The sequence below is a fragment of the Homo sapiens genome, chromosome 10 (genome assembly GCF_000001405.40).
Source record: "Homo sapiens chromosome 10, GRCh38.p14 Primary Assembly".
In the NCBI taxonomy this organism is placed as follows: Eukaryota; Metazoa; Chordata; class Mammalia; order Primates; family Hominidae; genus Homo; species Homo sapiens.
In genome coordinates, this window is record NC_000010.11 from 123,682,929 (window position 1) to 123,699,904 (window position 16,976).

Below are 16,976 nucleotides of genomic sequence, written 5' to 3' on the forward strand. Positions count from 1 at the left end.
TGGCTGTCCAAGGAATGTTCTGTGGCCCAAGTTGCATTTAGTACACAACGTATGTGTGTGTGTATGTATACATGTGTATGTATGTATGTGTGTGCATGTGTTTACGTGTGTGTGTGTGTGTGAGTGAGAGAGGGAAAGAGGAAGAGAGAAGAGAGGAGAGATGATGGTGGTATAGAAGGTGTAAATAAAGGGTGCTAATTTGTCACTTTAAACTCAGGATTTGAAAGTACAGGTGCTTGATCACACTGAGGAATGGGAACCTGAGTCAAGGAGGCCAGTGGGGCAGCCTGGCACCAGGAAGGCACATGGTCACCGGCACCCACCTTCCAGTTTCAAATCCTGGTTCCTGAATGTTCCGGCTGTGTAGCTTTGACACTTCTCTGCCTTGGTTCCATCTTCTGTACCATAGGGAGAGTGATACTGGGGTCCTGAGATGGTCTCTGTGAAGCAGTTAAGGAGACACAGAGCCCCTGGGGGCCCACAGGAGGTGCTGGGTCAGGGGCTGCAGGGGTTATGGTCCTGTTCTCACTTTGGAACTTGCTTCCCTTGGGGATTCCCATTGTGGAGCAAGATCAGGACACTGGTCTCTCCAGAGGCTCAGAGAAGGCCTTGGAGTTCTGGCAGACATGCCTCCCTCCTGCCTCCCGGGACCAGGACTGCCTAGGCTGCTGGGTGGGAATGTGAGGTCCCCATGGGTGAGGAGCAAGGGTGGGCAGCTTCCTATCTCCATCAGCCCTGGACTGCGGCAGCCAGCTCAGATGCGCCAGTCCCCCACATCAGAGGGGCTTGTCACTGAGAGAGGAGGCATGGCTCCATGGAATAGTTCCCTGGACAGCTGTCAGAACATAGGAGTACAAGCACACAGGGTTTGGGGGTCTGGCAAGATCTGTGGGTATCTGCTCTGTGTCTCACCCTAAGTCAGAAAAATACACATCTCTGTGCTCTGCTTCCTTTTCATCCACAAGCTCTGCGCCCTGCAGCACTTTGTATCCTCTCCAAACCCACACACCCCAGGCTTCCATAGGGGCTGGGCTCTTGTGTCAGAATCCCCTGACATGCTTGGAAGAGGGGATCCCGGCCTCTCCCCAGCTCCATCCCCTCCCCCAACCTGATCTGCTGACCGAGGGTGTGGACCTAACCCCAGGGGATTTTCCGGGGGGAGCTGTGTCAGGGCAGGCATGTGAGCCTTTTGAGCACATAAGCATGAACGTTTCCCCCGAATGGAGCCTCATGTCCCAGAGAGCACACGGAAAGTCATCTTGTGCTCAGTGGAAGGTCTGGGCAGGTGGCAGGCAGCGATGTTTGTGGGGACAGGCCCTAATTTCTAGAGGGTGGCAAGGGGCGGCACCCTGTTCCTGGGGCTGCTAATCTTTGTCAGATCTCCAGGGTTGACCTTGGCATACACGTGCTCTAGGAGTGGGGTGGGGCTGGTTGATGCTGTTATGGCCAGGGGTCCCCAGAACAACCACACAACCACACAGCCTCCCCTGCTCCCCATGGGGTTCTTCAGGTGGCATCTTGGTTTGCTAGGGCTGCCGTAACAGAGTACCGCAAACCGAGCGGCTCTAACACAGAAAGACCTCTCACAGTTCCCAAGGCCAGAAGTCCAAGATCAAGGTGTTGGTTCCTTCTGAGGGTTGTGAAGAAGAGCTCACTCCACCCATTCCCCGAGCTCCTGGTGGTTTGCTGGCCATTTTTGGATTCCTTGGCTTGCAGATGTCTCACTCTGATCTCTGCCTTCGTGTTCACACGGCACTCACCCTGTGTGTGTGTCTCTGTCCAAGTTTCTGCCTTTATGAGAACACCAATAGTACGGAATTAGGGGACCGCCTTACTCCATTATGACCTGATTTGTATCTGAAACAATCGTATTTCTAAGTAGGATCACATTCCGACACTAGGGGTTAGGACTTCAACATGTGAATTTTTGGGGGAGATGCAATTCAACCCTCAATGGGGGCCATGACAAAAGGAAGCCAAGTCGTGCTCTGTCAACACCTGAGCCCAATAACCCCTCACTGTAGGGCTTTCTGCCAGAACTGAGCAGGAGATAGGGCCTTACACTGGAGACTTCTGCTCTGCGAGCTGCCTGCCTCCCACGTCCCGTCCTGAGACCATCCACTAACTTTGACTGTGGAGGGGGAAAGGCATTAAATAAACTGACAACACGGAGGAGGAGAGGCTCCCTTTAGCACACTGTGACCCTGCCCACTACTGACATGTGACTGGGCAGAATTGTAATGCCCCTTTCCTGGAGGGAAGGGCACAAGGAAGGGGTGAGCAGAGCTAGATCTGGCAGGAAAACATGGACTGAATTGTCCCTCTCTAAAAGGTCATCTGGAAGGGATCTGGTGCTCATCCAGATGCCTGCCCGGATCTGGAATTAGAAAGAAGTCGTTGTGGCAATATCGAAACCCTTGCCTCTTCTCATCAACGAAAGGAGCTGGGGGCTGTCAGAGCTAGTGTGGAGCATAGCCAGCAGCCAGCCACGGCAGGCGCAGGGAACCACCTGCATGGGGCCGCGAGAAAGCAGCTCAGCCAGCCACAGCCGGGCCTGGAGGGGGCATCCCAGCTACCCCCCGCCAGTGGCCACGTGGCAGCAGTGTCCAGGCCTGTATTCAGCCAAAGCATCTCTTTGCTTGGAGGCCCTGATAAAGGCCAGACATTGGCTTTTCAAAGCAGAAATTGTCATTGTGCACAGTGTGGACGGGCAAGTGACAAAAGTTCCAGACAGCATATAGTGACCTCATGGGAAAGGGGTTCTTGGAGCCGGAAGGGACCCCAGAGCTTCCTTTGTCATGTCTGCAATGCTGAGATTCACATCTTGGCGTGGCCACTAGCCAGGACTTGGACTGCAGTTAGATGGAGCTGGGCTTCCCATGCAGGAGACCCTGACTTGCTGCTCATCTCTCTGAGCCTCAATTTCCTCACCTGTAAAGTGGGAATAATGATTCTCATTCTGCTGGATAATTGTACGGTTAGAGATTGTACACATAAGTGCTCGGCCCAAAGGAGACACTCAACTGGGAATTACGATGTCTGAGCCAGGTGGAGAGCTGAGACTTGCCATGAAATCTCTGAGAAGGAAATGCAATAGATTTTACCTCTTAATTATCTAAATGGTGAAATTTTAGATTGTCTTGAATAATTTTATTCTGTGAAATCTACAGAGCCTGCAAATAACAATTTTGATCTTGCTGGATGGTTTGATGATATCTGGTTCTTTCAATAAATCCTTTTGGGAGAGCCAAAATGCTAAGCCTGAATTTAGCAAGGTATAAAAAACTATAGACATTTTGAAAAAGCAATTTGGCATCGCATAGCAACAATGTGTTGGCATTCAGCTAATTCATTGTTATTATTAGGTGTGAATTCTAAATTCAGGTTTTTTTGTCCCTTTGAATTCATCACTTCTCAAAATAGATTTCTTTAAAGTATAGATTTCCTAAGTGTTCACAGCTCCATTTCCCCATTCAGGCTCCCAAGCATATGAGAGGAGACATAGCCACAGTCCCCCACAGGGTCAGAGGGCAAAGGTAGACAGTGGTGCTGAAAATGGGATGCTAACTAGAGGGTCCTCAGAGTGGACTCCTTGAGAGCCTGTTCCAGAAAGGGGCATTTCTGTGGAGAATCACACTCCACCAGCTTCCTCCTCCTCCTCTTCGCCAGCTCTACAGCCCAAAGAAGGCTTAAGTATAACCAATTAAAGATAGAAGCACTGAGTTCCAGCTCAAGCTCAGTTCTTTCTGTACCTGGGTCCTCACCTGGCCAGATCCCCAAGCTGAGAGCCACCACCGCCTTCTATCTGCAGGTACTCCAGGTAGAATACAGGTACTAGACCCCCAGTCAGAGGGGAGTACAGGTGCTGCACCTTCCATGGCCACTGACTTGCTGTGTGATATCTGGCAACCCCTTTCCCTCTCTGGGCCTCAATTTTTTCATATGACAGTGGGTGGAGGAGACAGTGTTATATGATCTCCAGACTCTCTCCCAGCTCTGTGGGTCTTTTCTATTTCATGTTAATGCTGGATAATGTCCAAATATGGCCAAGGGTGCTGGACACACTTGAGAGAGTAAATGGCCTGATTTGGGTGGAGGGTAGAATTCTGTTGAAGGCTTTCCCTGACCTCATAACATGGTATTAGCACCCTTGCCTGGAGCTGTCTGGTGGCACCGAGAGGACTCTAAGATACATGGGCTGTGTCTTTCCTTGCCCTCCCCCAAAGAATGAAGGTCCCTTTAGGATCACCTGACCGCGGCTATTGTCAAAGACCACCAGGATCCGAACCCAGGGAAGAGGCCTTCCTTGCCAGCATTCTTTCCTGTGCATGACATACTTTGAGCTTTGCAAAATGTTTTCAAAATTGTTCTGAGCCCTTCCTTCCATGCAACTTCCTTAGGAACACAGAGCCAGGATCGGAAGCAAACAATGGGACCAGACTCTTCTAGTTAAAAGATCATTGAGACGATATTGTCCCACCTTTTTGTTTTTCACATGAGACATGCAGGTCCAAGGAGTGAACAGAGATGCCCAGGACCATATGACAAGTCAGCAGCAGAGTTGGCGCCAAAGCCAAGACAGCCAGCTATTAGCTAATAGCTGGGTTCTCAGTGCAGCTTGGATTTCAGAGTCAGACGGACCTAGGTTCAAATTCTGCCTTTACAATTACTGGCCATGTGACCTTGGGCAAAGTATCTAACCTCCTGGGACATCTGTTTCCTTGCATGTAAAACAGAGATGGTCATATCTCCCAGGGCTCAGCAAAACCACATATGGAAAGTGCTTAACACAGTGTGTAGAATAAAATACAGCCTGATGAATGTTCACCATCATCATCATTGGTGTAAACTGTTATTGTTATTTGAGGAGGCAGTCTCAGATAAATTGAGGGTTGGGCTGCGAAACCGTGGTCTGCAGGGCACAGACAGGCCCTGGCCCATGGCCACTCCCAGCGGTGCTTAGCTATGTCCTCATTAACAGCTTCCCTGTCTCTCCACAGGCTAGTGGAGCTCTTCTCCACGGTGCCCATCGGCTCCCACTGGGGGGTGCTGTCCAAGTGCTTGGCGTACAGCAAGGCCGCATCCGACCCCTTTGTGTACTCCTTACTGCGACACCAGTACCGCAAAAGCTGCAAGGAGATTCTGAACAGGCTCCTGCACAGACGCTCCATCCACTCCTCTGGCCTCACAGGCGACTCTCACAGCCAGAACATTCTGCCGGTGTCTGAGTGAAGGACCGCGCTCCTGCTGAAGAGTTTAGAATGAGGCAGCGGTGAGAAGAAGGGTGGGAGGGCGTGGGGGCCCCTGGGTGGACACCACCAGCCACCAGTCCCTGGCATGCCCAGTGATCCTGGTTCCCTGGCTTGTAGGGGCTCCAGAGCCTGCTTCCTGGTTCCTCAAGGGCAGATATTGGACACTCCTTATTTGTCACCAAAGGATGACTGTAGGCCGTGTGCTGGCCTTTCTTTCTAAGAAGCTGCTTTGAGCTCCTGGACTCACCTGAGGCTCCCTGGGGGATGACACTCAGTTCTGTCACTGTCAAGGATGCAGAGAGCTGGTGGTAGGTGGGAAGCATGGTGTCCACCTGCCTGCTGACCACTGGACGCTGCTCCATGCTGAAGAAAAGTGACAGTCTCCAGGGGACATTTCAGCCATGCTGAAAGGGAGGCTGGCAGTGGTCATTTGGCCCGGATCTAACATGGCACCTCGTCTCCACAGGGTAGTGGTGGCTGCTTCAACCCAAATATTATTCAGCTGGTACTAACGACATTGTGCCCAGCTGGGACTCTTGGGCTCTGTGCCTGAGGGAAAATGTTTCACAACTAGTGGCTGCCCAATTGCTGCTGACCAGTTGTCTTAGAAATGGTCAATTGGATTCAACTTTAGTCCTCTCCTTCCCCCTAAAAGCGAATGTTTGTGTGTGCAGACAATCTTAGCATGAAAATGGTTTAAATAGGCTGGTCCTACATGTATTAGGTTCTTTCAAGTTTGACTGGGAGGTCACCTTTTTCTGATTTACAAGTCCTAATTGTTGGAGCTCAGTAAAGGTAGGAGGAAGGTGGCTGGTTGGTCCTCCCTTCCCCCTGTTTGTGACCTGAATTTACAGGAAGTGTTTCAACTTGTCTTATGCATCTTATCTGGCATGTCCTGGGAGATGGATGGGCAAGAACTGGCCTGAGCAGGGATTTTTGCCTTGATTTTAAGTCACTGGGTTCCATTGTCCTGGCACCTCCATTTCCTTAGTTTCTGTAAGCCTGTTAACAGAAAGTAGAGGCTATTCAAGGTTATCAAGAAAGTGCCCTGTGCTAATGATGAGACAGTGAATTTTTTTTTTTTTTCGAGATGGGAGTTTCACTCTTATTGCCCAGGCTAGAGTGCAATGGTGCGATCTAGGCTCACCACAACCTCTGCCTTCCAGGTTCAAGTGATTAGAGACAGTGAAATTTTTATGGAATACTGCACCTATAAAACACATGCCAATCTGTTAGCAGTCCTGACTTGATTTAATAAAAACCAAGGAGAGCCACCCCTGCTTTCTGGCCATCTCTTCTTTGTCTACCATTTCAAATTGACTTGTGAATACTCAGAGCAGTTATTTTTCAATCCTCCACTCTAAGTGATTCCTCCAGGGTGGGAAGCACGGGGAGCAATGGAATCAGATGGCTCATTCTCTCCTTCCAGCTCTTTACATCCTAACTTTGGAGGTATAGAAGGAAGGATGTGGTCCAACGGGAAGGAAGTGAAGAGTCTATTGGTTTTTACTTCTAGGCAGTCCCAATTTTTAAAGGCAGAGAAGTATCTGCATCTTTATTTGAAAAGACGTCTTATTAACTCTTAGCTCCTCAGTTAGAAAACAATTCACCTGGCTTAGTCTTGTCTAGTTTCAAAGTTACCATGGAGACTAGAATGGAGACAGGTGTAGCTTCCAAGGAGGCCTTGGCATCTTGCAGTTGCTGTCAGAGATGGGCTCATATCTGCTTGGGGAAGCCAATGGGGCACAATCCTTCCCAATTTCATGATCTGGGGCATCATGTCGGTAGCTGAAGTCAGCCACGGTGGGAGTGTTTATACCATGAAAATCAGCAAGTGCTGTAAATCAGGCCTTTTGCCCCACAGAGAGCTGATTGTGAAACATCTACTAGCACACCACTGCCAGACATGACTGTGTGTGTCCCTGAAACAAAATTGCTCTGGCTCAGAGCTCCTTTGGCCACTCATATTACAATAGCAACAGACATTTGCTTCCTGGTGGCAAGTAACTGTGCACCCTCCAACATCCCAACCCCAGAGGAACCAGTGGGATTGAAAACCAGCAGAAGCCAAGACAGGATGCACAGCTGAATTGGAGGAGAGTAGCTCCCTTCTCACACAAACGCTTTCAAAGTTGGGCAAAAGTGGCCCAGTGCGTGAGGTCAGTCAACAGCCAAATTCCAGCAGCAAAATACATTTTCATCAATATCACTTTGGGAGAATAACTGTGGCACATGCTCTTTCTGCTTTCTCTGTACTGTATAGGCAACATGTTGTACTCCCAGTAGCAACTAGATCTCTTTTACCTCTTCTTTAGCCAAGAAGCAAGATCTGTCACCCACAACACCACATATCTTGAAAAGATGCTTTTCATAATTTTCACTATACCTCTAAAACCAATTGTACCGACATCACGTAGACAAAAACTCCAGATAAATCCATTGATTGGGTATTTTCATTATTATTTGGACACATGAATTAAATCCCAAGGGAAAGTGAGAAGAAAATTAATGTATTAGCAACCAGTGTTAGCCAACTCTGCTGTAATTACCTTTAGATAAATGTTTATTTTCATCTCTATACAGTCTATCAAATTTGCCCCCTGGCTTTATTACTCCCAATTGAATTATCTACCTCATTTTGTTAATTTAATTTATCAAAGGTAACATTGTTTTCTCAGGTATAACACATAGAAACACCAAGATTTTCAGCATCTGAATCAAACTAAAATTACTTGCTTGACTTCACTCCAGGGTGAGACTTGACCTTTAAGGCCCAAACTCTGGTGAACTGTTGGACTGGGTAGAAATCTTTCAAGAAGCTTGAAAATAAGGCCATAAAGGAGGGGCTTTCAAATTCCTAAATCCACATATAGGGCTGAGTTCCTAGTCCTACACAATCAGAATTTGCCTTTTTAAGTCACGCTGCAACTATTCCGGCTTTTTATATGGCACCTTTCTGAGGGAGGGGATTTTACAGCCGAGGGACCTCCAAAGGGAACGTCCATTTGCATGTGTGCCCTGGTATTTAGGGTTTGTCTCATGGTCAGCTCGCCTCTCAAAGATGGCTCACCAATCACCTGCCTGTTTTTACTTAGAAAGCAGGCTTGGGCAGGAGGGGAAATGGATTTGAACCATCTCAGACCAACTCTATCTCTTCTAGCACTCAGCTCAGCCTCCTGTCCCCATGAGCAATAAAACTCTCTCCTTATGTCTGTGAAATTCGTTTTCTTTTTCATGGTGCCTTTCTTTCTAAGAAAAGATAGAAAGAATGGGGCCAGGTTCATGTCCCAGTTGTCACCCTTTTACATGCTTGGGTGCAGGTAGATGAGGCCTTCCCATGGCTACAGTGTGACCCTTGGAGGAACCAAAGGCTGTGCATTGTTAGAATTTAGCCCAGATGCAGGATAAACTAGCTTGCCTGAGTTTAATGAGGATATTATATCAGGTGCCAGGAATCCCTTGGGTCAGCTCCTATCCTCTGGACGGGGAGCATCATGGGAAAAAGAGGTCCGAGTCATATTTAGGGCTTCATGTGTCTGGAAGGGAGCCATTAGCTCTTAAATTATTCACAGAAGTCACCACGGAAGGTTGTTTAAGATGCAGATTCCAGCATCCCCTCCTCAGAGATCAATTTCAGCAGGGCCAGGCAGGACCTGGGTTTCCGCACTTTTAATCATCGATGCCCAGGTAACTGATAGGAGTTTTCTTCAAACCATCCCCTAAGGAGAAATGATCTTAGACACTTGGATAAACTCTATAGAAAATTGAGTGTTTCTATTAATAACTATCTAGGTTTCAATTGTCTTGTATCTTTCCCTAATTCTCCAAACAGTTCAATCTCCAGCTTTATTCAATGGCTGGGCCATTTTGTTCTTGGAGGGACAAAATTGACCTCTCCATGAAATTGCAAAAACCCATCTTCATTCCTTTTTATGGGGCTCCAGGTCATAAGGATGAGATATATTTGGGGTACTGGCAGAGGATGGCAGAGCTGGCTGGCTCTGAGCCAGGAAGCCTTGTTAGAGGAAGGAACTCTGGCATTCAGAGGTGTCCCCTTGGGGGCACTTGCTTGGGTCTTGGATCAAACTCTACTGGGGCAGCCTGGCTGTGGGAGGTGATGACATCTGCCACCTCTGCCACTACCCAGAGCTTGTCCTGCCCTCTTCCCAGCCAGCCTCACACACAGGAGCTGAGCCAGGCTGAGGCAAGGTCAGCGAGAGACAGTTCTCCATGCCAGTATCTGGGTGTGGGTCTCTTGTTGGCTCCCAGCTCATCCCGTGTGGCTGACCCTTCCAGGTCACTTGGAGCAGCCAGTAATGACAGTGTCCTAACAGCTGGTGGGTATGGAGGAAAGACTAGACATCAGGCTATGGACTCACATGGAGGGCCCTGGTGTTGGCTCTGGGACCTGGGCTGGGCCGGACCTGGGGAGAGGGTGGGTGGAGCTTGGCCTCTGCAGTTTGCGCTTGCAGGTTCAGGGGAGAAAGTTGTTTGAGATCAGGGTTTAGGGGTAGTGTTTCCCATTAATCTTCATCATAATCTTTTGATGTAGGTGCTGTTATTATCTCTACGTTACACATCTGGGAGGATTTGAAAGTCCTGGAGACAGGGAGGTTTTGGGGAGAATGCAAAACAGGGCAGGGCTCTCAAGGAGGGTGGACCAGTGACCATGGGGAAACTGAGTGTTTCTATTAATAAGTATCTAAGTTTCAATTGTCTTGTATCTTTCCCTAATTCTCCAAACGGTTCAATCTCCAGTTTTATTCAGGGACTGGGCCATTTTGTTCTCAGAGGGACAAAACTGATCTCTCCATGAAATCCCCTGCACCTCACTCTGGGCAGCTCTAGGCTCAGCAGATGTTTTTCTGCCATTAGGAAACAGCCCCTTACTCTCAGCTCCTGTGCTAACACCCATACCCACCAGCTGGGCGTTGGGACCTCTCCCGTCATATGGCTGCCACTTGCTTGGGAAGGAATTCTCCAGACTCCTTTTACTTTGTATGTGTTTCTAGGGGAATTCTGAGGGAAGAAGCTTTGCAGCAACCTCTGTGCCCAGAACATACGGCTCACAAGTCCTTTGTGCCGACAGGGAATCTATCTAATTGTTTTAGTGTGTGAGGCTCATTGTCAGCCTAGATTTCCCTGAAACTCTGGGCCAGCAGCCCCCAGGAGCATCAGTAGGACCCAGCATTTCCCCTGGCACCAAAGTGGACCTCTTTGCACCTTGCAGCCGGGAGAACTGACTTAGAGGGCCCTGGTGTTGGCTCTGGAACCTGGGCTGAGATGGATTCGGGGAGAGGCTGGGTGGAGCTTGGCCTCTACGGTCTGTTCTTGCAGATTCAGGAGAGAAAGTGGTATGAGAGCAGTGTGGTTTGTAAGTTCCCCAACTTCCCCGCTGGCTCACACTGTCTCCCCAGACCAATGGCCTATTAGCCCCCAAAAAGTTAGTCCAACCCCAGGCCAGCTGCCTTTGCTCTGCTGTGGCCTAAGTTCTGGCCTGGTCAAAGGAAGGTGGCAGGAACTCCAGGCTTGCTCCTGCCTCCTCACACCTCATTCCACAAATGCGGAGTGAAAGAGCAGGAGCCAGACACATTTGGGGGTTGACTGTCTAGAAAGGAGGAATCAGAGGTCCCAAGGAACACAATCGTGCAACTTCCTAGGGAATCTGCATCAGGAGAAAGAAGCGGCTAGGACACACAGTGGCTTCGCTCAGCCTGGCCACGACATCACTGTGCAGAAGAAGAGATCTGTCAGGGGTCCAGAGGAGCGGAGTCCTGGAGCCTCTGGGAGGGTGGCATGTGGCAGCTGCAGGCTGTGGTCCAGAACTATGAGCAGACTTGCCTGTCACTCTCCAAACATTTACTGAACACCTACTGTGTGCCAGGCCCTGTGCTTTGTCAGGCTCTGGGGGAGACAGGTCATTACTCTGCAGTGTGGGAAGCGGGGCTGCCCTGGAAGTGTGTACTCAGTGCTGTGGGGGTACAGAGGGAGGGCTGGAGAACTTAGCTGGTGGGAAAGGAGGGTTCTGGAAGGCTTCTCAGAGGTAGTGGCATTGGGCCAGAACTTACAGTAGGGAAGAGCATGTGGCAAGGCACAGAGGAGATGGGAGCCTGCCTGGTGAGGGGTCCAGTGGTGACAGAGCTCAGTGTGGGTCCAGAGATGGTGTCAGGTGAGGGCTGAGAGGGGAGGGCAAGTGCCCCTTGAGATGGGCTGAACGTGATGATGATCTGTGGCCAGTGGGAGATGATAGAAGTCTTGAGGTTGGGAATATAAGAATTAGGTCTCTTTTAGAAAGAGAGGACATGGAGAAAATCCATATATTTTTAGCTACCAAAAAAGAGAAGGAAGAAAGAAAAGAAATAAGAAGAGAAGCAAGACAGAAAAGAAGGAAGAGAGAAGGAAGAATGGCAAAGGAAGGAAGAAGGAGAGAAGGAAGGAAAAACAAAGGAAGGAGAAAAAGGGAAGGAAAGAAGAAAGGAAGGAAAAAAGGAAGGAGGGAGGGGAGGAAGGAAAAGAAAAAGAAGGAAGGAAGGAGTCCTAGCCACTTCTTTCTCCTGATGCAGATTCCCTAGGAAGTTGAACGAAGAAGGAAGGAAGGAAGAAAGGAGAGAAAGGAGGAAGGAAAATGAATCTCATTCATTTTGAGGGGCATCTTCATTACACAGCGTGGGGAGGGAAGCATAATTCACTCTTAAGAAACCAACCACACCAGCCAGGGCCCATCTTCTGACAATATCCTGAAGGGTTCGAATGTTTGTCTTCGGTAGGGAGTGCCACACATTTAATATCAATGCAGGGTCCTGATGGGCACTGCCACATACCCCCAGGACAAACGGAAAAATCCACACAGCAGAAACAAGCAGTTGGCAAAAGCTGTCCTCATGCTACTTGGCAATTCAATCACCCTCCCTTCACTCCCACACCTATCTCCGGGTGTTGCCCGTACAGTGTGTCATGTAAATAGCATCTAGCATTTAAAGGTCAAATTTGATGAGTCTAATCAATCTTAGCAGTGTTCCAGTTCATCACGTATACCCATATTTAAGGACTTTTAAAGTAATTTGGATTTTTAACTCAAAAGACGATGTGTACCCCTTGGGGCATGCGTGTGTTCTTAGGAACACCAGCGTGTGGTATTTCCTGTGTCCTCTCATGCATGCTCAGCATGTCACTGTTGTACTCATTCCCTGGCACGGAAGAATTGTTGCACATCTTTAATAGAAGCCAAAGCCCATGATTTGATGGTTTCAAGAGCCTAAAATCTGTATTTGGAGAGAGGAAGTCTACTCTTAACTGTGAGAGTTAAGAGTATCACCATCAAGGCGCAAGGCTTCAGTCTTATCCCGGACAATCCTCAGGGATTGGGTTTGATGTCGGGGGAGCATTGGATGCCATCACGTTGACACTCAATTGATTGGGTGACCCAAGATGGTCAGTTTCCTAAGGACCAGACCATAGTGACTGCTCATGCATCGGCTGAAATACCAAACACCCTGCACCAAAAGACTCAGCTTGACATTGCTTTGCACTCAACTCATGTATTACCAAATCTTTGCTTGAATTATTAATAGTAACCAAACTCTCTGCTCTAACAACCTTCGAATGTCAAGTTCCCTTGCAAGCTGAAATTGTTCCAAACCTCAACACTCCTGTTTTACAACAAACATGTAAATACAACCTCTTTTGGAGTGCAGAAACATTTGCGGAGTCTGGTGTGCCACCAACCCCATCAGGATTTCCCCAGGGGAAAATGGCTAACTCTGGATCACAAACAGCACAAATTAAAAAGGTGCCTTGCCTGATGCCCATTACCACCTGGGGTGGTTTTTCTAGACACCAGAATAGGCCAGATTTAATTTTCACAGGCTCATCTGGGAGAAGGATCAAATCCTGCCATCTGGATGTGCATTATTAATGCTGGTGTTTGGTGAGGAAGCTCCTAGGAATGCATAGATCTCTCCTTCTGCCATAGTATGTCGTGTGTAGTGGATGCCAGTAGACAACTTTAGCCACTCCTGTCCGTCCTTCTTCATGGAACACACTCATTTCGCCACACGGAGGCTTTACTCTGCCCAGTGTCCAATGGGAGAACCATCCCTTCCCTTTAGTGAGAGGACAGCTGGCTAAATGCTATCCTCAGTCCTCCTGGAGGCTCCTAGTAATGAGGGCACTGAACACCAATTCTTTACATTCCTTGAATTTTCATAGATTCTATTTTTTTCATGTCTGTGAAAAGTGGGGTGGGGAACTCACACCAACCATAGCTTGGGGCATCCAGAGAGTGGCTAGTAGATGATAGAAGGGAGTCCAGTTAAGGAAACCTAAGGTATGTGCCAGCTGGTTTAGCATTCAATATGGAAATGCACTTTATATTTATTTGCACACATCAAGAATACTTTTGGAAACCAGGATTTAGAAAAATAAAAGATATTTCTTTCCTGGGGACAAAGTGACCTGCAAATGATTGGCTTCTGTACAATGTTGCAATCCCTTAATGTCAGACTCTTAGGAAAATGGGTGGGACATCTGTGTGTTTGTGTTGGAGTGAATGTGCCCATAACCCTGTGCTCCCATAAGTCTGTGTGCCCGTGATCATATGCATATGGGTGAATGTTTGTGTGCCCATGATTTTATGCATATAGGTGAATATTTGTGTGCCCATGAGCATATGCATATGGGTGAATGTTTGTGTGCCCATGAGTATATGCATACGGGTGAATGTTTGTGTGCCCATGAGTATATGCATATGGGTATATGTTTGTGTGCCCGTGATTATATGCATATGGGTGAATGTTTGTGTGCCCGTGATTATATGCATGTGGGTGAATGTTCATGAACACAAACAGCTACACTCGGAGTAGAAAACAAATGAAGCAAAAGTTTAGCATCCTCTCATGTGTGTCAACATTGTAGTTTTACATTTACTTTCTTCTAATCTATTAAACATAAGTATGGCTCCATTTTTTTAGTATTACCAGAAGCCCTCCCAATACGGCAATATTACCTTCTGTGTAATCCACTTGCCAACAGCTGTTTTCTGTTGAAATGGGACTCAAGAATTTTGAATCCAAGGCCAATGCTGCCTGCTCTGTTTACAATGGTTTGTGTTTTGTGGATACATATCAAATGCTGTAATATATTTTTATGATAGAATTGATGGTTAATACAGGGAAAAAGTATATATTGTGATTCTGTCCAATAAAGCCTCCTGTTATAAAATCTCTTGCACACTTTTGATGACCTGATGTAAACACATTTTAAGGTACAGGTTAATTGCCAGAAATGTTAGTTCCACGTAATTTCATGGTGACACCAAAGTTTCTATTTCTTCTCTTTCCTGTCTTCCAATATTGTACCCCTTTTCTCTCCCATTTCCAATGCCCCAGGTGCTCCTGCCCACCCCCGCAGCCTTCTGAGTAGTAGGTATTCATCCTTTGGGGGTCCATCTCTTAACTTGCCCAAAACCACAGCAGCCCTCCCCTTCCCAAACACCCCTGACCAGGGGGATGCGTATTCCCCACCCTTTCAAATACCTTGCAATTTTTGCCACTTTGGCCCAGTTCCTCAGGCTTTGCTAGATGACTAATTAACTTCTTGGATCTCAGAAACAGAGTAGGAGGGGCCTGGGAGAAGGAGGACCAGACTTCTTGGTTGCCTGCTGTGTGCTTGGCACTTTGCTAGGGGTCTTGGCTATAGTTTCTCATAGAGCTCCAGAGGTGGGGCTTCTCAATTAGTAGATGCAGGGACTGAGTTCAGAGAGGTTAAATGACTTGCCCAGGATCACACAGTAAGGGGGCATAGAGATTTGAACCCAGGTGTGACTGATACTAAACTCCTATTTTTACCAAATCCATGAAGACGCTTCCTGAACTTAGAGATGATTCAGCAAAGGCCTCTCTTTTACAGCTGGGGAGACTGACGCCTAAAGAAGGAACTGACTTCCTGATATCAGATACTAGAACTTATAAGTCCTAGGATCTTAGGCAAGTTACTCCATTCTTTCAAAACTCTCTACTATTTTCTGGTTCAAATATCAGATTTGCCTCTTTCTATCCTAGCACATTCCCCTTTCTGTGGCACCATTTCCTCCCCTCCAAATGGGGAGAAGGACCCTCTATTCCTCAAGGTCTTGTGAGGATTAAATCAGCATGGCACATAAAGCACATAGCAGGTGCCTCACATCTGCAGACACCAGAGGCCCAATCCACATCACAGTGGCTCTCACGGGACTGGGGTCCCCCAGGCCTCAGCTACTGCTTCCTTAGGACAGTACTTCCTTCTCAGCCAAAGAATTAACATAAAATTAATATCCTAACATGAACAGCGACTAAGAACCAGAGCACACATGATCAAATTACCAGCATTGCCACTAACTGGCTGTACCACCTAGAATTAGTGACTTATCCTCTCTATGCCTCAGTTTCCTTGTGGATAACACCGGCTAGCATCACTACTGAGTCATCATGCTTCAGGCACTCAGAACAGCACTTGACACAGGGTTAGCCGCACAGTCAACATTGCCAGTCAGCCTCAGTGCTGTCTTTTTAGATAGCACTCTGTCTCCATAGAGGGGGTGTAAAGGCAGGCATGGGAGAGATTGTGGATGAGGGGACTGGGCTGGGGATCCCTAACCTTGTTCACACCCATAGTGCTTACAACATTACAGCTTGATCCATTTCTGAGTGAATTTGCACAGCAGTTTCAAGCCTGACCCTGGGGCCAGGTATTTGAGCAAGAAGATCCAGACGTGATGCAGCCGGGTATCCCGTGGTGCTCGATGGCCCAGCACCCACCTGGGACTAATGCAGCTGACTCTAACTTCACTAAGCCCGTAGAGAATGGACATTGTGTATGGGGCTTCACTCCTGGGAAGTGAAGGAGTGGCAGGGGCCCCACAAACATTCTCTTAAGGTGGGCTCCAGGCCACTGTTCTAAGCAGACGGACCTCTTCTTGCCCTCCAATGCTGAATTTGGCTGTCTTCAGGGGAGTTGTGAGTTTCCTTGTAGGTCAGCCCAGCCCCAGAAGAAAAAGGAATCAGGAAAGCTGCTGTAACTGGGAATGGGAATGGGATGCTTCAGTCTGTGGGGGCCACTCTCCCCAGCATGGGAGCATCTCTAATATCAGCTCCAGGGGAAGACCCTTATGCTGCCTAACGCTGTGAGTAGCTACCTACCCTGAACACCTATCCAGTCCCAGATGCTGCACTAAATACTCCAAAAACACCATCTCATTTAATACCTCAATATTCCTAGGAGGTGAGTGTCTTTCTTATCCCATTTTACCATTGAGGAGCCTCCAGGGATGGAGCAACTTGTGCAAGGTCACACAACTGCTCCCAGAAAGGCCAGCTCCATCTCTCTAGCTCCTAATGCCTCTCCCTTCTGCAGGGGCCCCGCAGGCAAGCTCGGGAGCACCCAGGGAACCACTGTCCCAGCGTCAATATCCACACTGCAACTTACACTCCCTCTTTGGTGACTTTCAACAAGAGTTTAAGATGGATATTTACAGAATCACATTCCATCTTGGCTTCTAACTTATGTCATTTGGCCTGATACAAGGCTCTTCACTCTCTTAGCTGTAATTTTCTCAACTTTAAAAATAAAGCTGGATGTAAGATTAGACATAGAAACCAATAGAATAGAGTCCAGAAATAGACTGACCCATAGATGATCAATTGACTCCAACAAAGATGCTAGGATAAGTCGGTGGGGGAAAGGATAATT

General features: G+C 48.0%; 1 protein-coding gene across 1 annotated transcript in view, besides 2 other annotated features; it reads left to right on the forward strand.

Moving 5' to 3' along the window:
• GPR26 (G protein-coupled receptor 26) overlaps positions 1-14,471 on the forward strand; it is a 31,045-nt gene extending 16,574 nt beyond the window's left edge. Inside the window, exon 3 of the mRNA NM_153442.4 lies at positions 5,001-14,471. Within this exon, the coding sequence (NP_703143.1) occupies positions 5,001-5,232 (232 nt within the window). The 3' untranslated portion in view covers positions 5,233-14,471. The remainder of the gene's footprint in view (positions 1-5,000) is intronic.
• Positions 698-1,198: an enhancer, noted in NCBI's record as "H3K4me1 hESC enhancer chr10:125443142-125443642 (GRCh37/hg19 assembly coordinates)". NCBI's record gives its function as "activates a minimal SCP1, AML or CMV promoter by ChIP-STARR-seq in primed H9 embryonic stem cells {active_cell/tissue: H9 hESC(primed)}" and the evidence as "EXISTENCE:reporter gene assay evidence [ECO:0000049][PMID:30033119]".
• Positions 1,199-1,699: an enhancer, noted in NCBI's record as "H3K4me1 hESC enhancer chr10:125443643-125444143 (GRCh37/hg19 assembly coordinates)". NCBI's record gives its function as "activates a minimal SCP1, AML or CMV promoter by ChIP-STARR-seq in primed H9 embryonic stem cells {active_cell/tissue: H9 hESC(primed)}" and the evidence as "EXISTENCE:reporter gene assay evidence [ECO:0000049][PMID:30033119]".